The sequence below is a fragment of the Homo sapiens genome, chromosome 5, assembly GCF_000001405.40.
Source record: "Homo sapiens chromosome 5, GRCh38.p14 Primary Assembly".
In the NCBI taxonomy this organism is placed as follows: Eukaryota; Metazoa; Chordata; class Mammalia; order Primates; family Hominidae; genus Homo; species Homo sapiens.
The window spans coordinates 175195381-175199130 of record NC_000005.10 but is presented as its reverse complement, the minus strand read 5'-3'; the positions used below and the strand labels follow the sequence as shown (position 1 = coordinate 175199130).

Sequence of the window (3750 nt, the reverse complement as noted above, 5' to 3'; positions counted from 1 at the left end):
GGGTGGTAACCGTGGACATTCTTACACTCAGAATAACATGCTACAAATAAGGTGAGTTGGGCAGAATCAGAGCGTGAAGGATCCAGGGACCACTGGTTCATTGAAGGAAACCATTGTGCCAATCTTGGGGGTTAATATAGCATAGCTGGTAAGAGCATAAATGCCATGGCTTCAAATCTCAGCTCCACTACTTACTAGCTATGAGATATCAGGCAAGTTACTTGTCCTCTTTGGGCTTTAGTGCTTCTTACCTGTAAAAGAGGGATTTTAACTAGCACCTGCTGTTGTTTGTGAGAGTAATGGATTATTACTTATAAGTCTCCTAAAACACCACCTGGCATGTAATTAATGCTCACTAGAAACCAACTGCTGTTGTTATTAATATTATTTTTCAATCAGAATTCTTTTAGTGGCAACCAATACAAATAGGCTTTAGCAAAAGAAAAAATAAAGAGGATTCTACTGCCTCACACAACTGAAAGCTCTAGAGTACAGCTGGCATCATATCTCGCAAACACCACCAGAATTCTTCTCCAGAGTTCAGTCCTGTTCTCCTCTGTGGTGGGGGTACTTCTATGCAGCTGTCCCAAGTGGTGGCAAAGATGGAAACCAGCAGCTCCAAGCTTCCACACTACTAGCTAAACCCCCATGGAAACAGAAAGCCTGTTTCCCAAGAGGTCCAGCAAAAGTCCCAGGGAAGATCTTCATTGGCCCAGCACAGGTCATGTTTCCACTTTTGAACCAATTACTATTTCTAGGGGCCAGAGTCAGCCCCACCTGAACCACAGGCACACAGAGAGGAAAGGGAAAGCAGAATGTAGTGATCAGAGCAGCGGGCGGGGTGGGGGAGACTGGATATAGGGCAGACAGGACAATAACTGCTCCATTGCAGACCCTGGCTGCATGAATCGGCACTGATTCATGCAAACAGCATCCAAACCAGCCTGAAACTTCTCATTATTGCCATGGCTGTTTTCACCCTCCATGCCTTTGATCAATGCTGTTCCTTTTACCTGAAATTACCCTTTTTAAGCAACCACAGTTACCTACCCCAAATACATGTACTTGCCCCAAAGCTACAGATCCTTCAAGGGCCATCACAAACACCGCATTCCTCTGAAAGCCATTCTTGACTTTGCCAGTTAGAAGTACTCCCTCTCTTCTCACTCCCTTTTACTCTCAGATCTCTCTCTCTAGAATTTGCCATGCATGAACTATGTACTATTCTCTCCACCATCCCCTTTTCTCCAAGTTAGGGTCAGATTTTCCCCTCCCTGAATTCCCAGCTACACACCACATGCCCTGGACTCAAGTAAGCACTCAGCAAATATTCATTAAATCAGGTTACATGTAACAATAACGAAAACACCAGCTATCCCTTGAGCAGATTCTGCGTGTCAGCTGCTGTGTTAAGTGCTTTGTAAGTGGGATTTCATTTTGTCCTTTTGACTATATGGTGCGGTAGGCCCATATTATTATCCCATCTGTATATATTATCCCATCTGTTTGCATTATCCCATCTGTTATTATCCTATCTGTATGTATCTCGTTGAATCTGTACATGAGAATATAAAAGCTCAGAAAGTTTAAGATCAAGTTCACACGGCTAGTACTTGCTGCAGCCAAAGTTCAGATCTCAGCATGTGTGTCTTCAGAGCACACTTGAGGCCCTTGAGGCTTGTGTAGTTAATAAACTATTTGACAATTGTGATATACAGCCTGAAGGCTAGGGAGGCTACATATCAATCGCCCCATTTAGAGCCAGAGCATCTGAACCTGAAGTGGAGTATCGGCTTGGCCACTTGCTGACGGGGCCACCTAGGAAAGCTTGTATCCTCTCTCTGGGCCTCAGTCTCTCCCTCCTGTCCTGAAGGAGGCAGCTGGATATCATGGCTTCAAAAGCCTTTTCCAGCTATAATTTTTCTGACTCCAGGCTCTTGTCTGGAGACATGAGACTGATCAGGGGTAGACTCAGCCTAGACACTGAGTGTCCAGTTCTAATCACCCACTTTATCTTTTCCCCACCATAATGAGCTTCTTTATGTAATTTCTCCCTTGTTCATTTTCTTCTAGTTTTCTAACTGCCTACAAATTTGAAAGAAAAATGACTATAGGAATCTGGCTAAGGAAAAAAATAGAATTCAACCCAAAGTCACCAAGACAGAAAAATCTATATATTTTTTTTTCTTTTTCTTTTTCTTTTCTTTTCTTTCTTTCTTTCTTTCTTTTTTTTTTTTTTTGAGATGGAGTCTCGCTCTGTTGCCCAGGCTGGAGTGCAGTGGCATGATCTCGGCTCACTGCAACTTCCGCCTCCTGGGTTCAAGAGATTCTTCTGCCTCAGTCTCTGAAGTAGCTGGGATTACAGGCACGTGCCACCATGCCTGGCTAATTTTTGTATTTTTAGTAGAGACGGGGTTTCACCATGTTGGTCAAGCTGGTCTCAAACTCCTGACCTCACGATCTGTCCACCTCAGCCTCCAAAGTGCTGGGATTACAGGCATGAGACACCACACCTGACCAAAATCTATATATTTGTGAAACTCTTAAGCATTTGAATTAGGAATGGCTTGGACTTGGATATTAAAGAAGCCACACACACACACAATTGGCTTTGGAAGTTCATGTTCTCAGCATTGTTGTCCAGATGACTCAGCTAATTTACAGTCAGTTCTTCCTTTTTTTATTAGGCTGGTGCAAAAGTAATTGCGGTTTTCACCATTGAAAGTAATGGCAAAAATTGCAATTACTTTTGCACCAGGCTAATATTTGCCCACCTTAAAACTCTTAGTACATTTTATATTCCCATAAGAAATATACTCACTTAAATTCTCTTAACAACACTGAGATGTAGAAAGCACTGTTCCCCATTTTGCAGATAAGTAAACAGAGGCAAGGAGCGTCTTTCCCAGGGGTACACGGCTAATGAGAGGGAAGTCAGTGTGACCACTGAACTCTTGACCACCACTGTCTGCAGCCTGTGAAGTCTTCTGATTTCTCCCTATTCTTCCTCCTGGAAGCAATGGGGATCTGAAGACTTCTCCTAAGTTAATGATAGACTGTCTCACATTCGTGCCCTGTTGGTAAACATCCAACATCCTCAGGGCCGCAGTGGAACTGACAGGAAGGGGTTAACTGTTTCTACGCATGTTCCCAGGGAAGTCAGAACTCACACCAGGGCACAGGAAAGGACTTTGCACTCCGGCAAGTTAACAGCCATTTGCTGAACAAGATAGAATGCATGTAAAAGTCAATTCCTCTCTCAGGCAAGAGAGACTCGTGATGGTGGGATTGAGCTGATGATGAAATTTATGCAGCTTGATGGAAATAGGATCCGAGTGAGACCTGCATCTCCGCCCTCTGCCCTGGAGTGTCCGCCCTCTGCTTAGGAGGGAAAAGCCTGCAACAGAGTCCAGTGCAGTCTCTGGGGAGAAGAACCAAGGACATATTTTCTGGCTTCTATACATTTTATTTCAAAACAGAAGCATCCCTGATGCCATAGAGCAGCCTTTCTATCCTTGCCTTTGTAGGGGAGGAAAACTTTTTTCTCTATCCATCTTAGGTTCTTGGCTGGGGCTCTGTAACAAAAGATAGATTAACAAGAGAAAAGCAGAAGGTGTAAATATAAGTTTTAGGTGACACGGGAACCCTCACAAGGAAATGAAGACCCAAAGAAGTGGCAAACCTAAGTGCTAATATCCTCGGTGGAGCAAAGAGAGACAGTTGTGGGAAAGTAACTAAGATATATGAGGA

The 3750-nt window shown here is 43.7% G+C and overlaps 1 annotated feature.

Annotated features, from left to right (window-relative positions):
- Positions 3171-3465: an enhancer, noted in NCBI's record as "tiled region #8865; K562 Activating non-DNase unmatched - State 3:PromF". NCBI's record gives its function as "activates a minimal TATA promoter and a strong SV40 promoter by Sharpr-MPRA in K562 cells {active_cell/tissue: K562}" and the evidence as "EXISTENCE:reporter gene assay evidence [ECO:0000049][PMID:27701403]".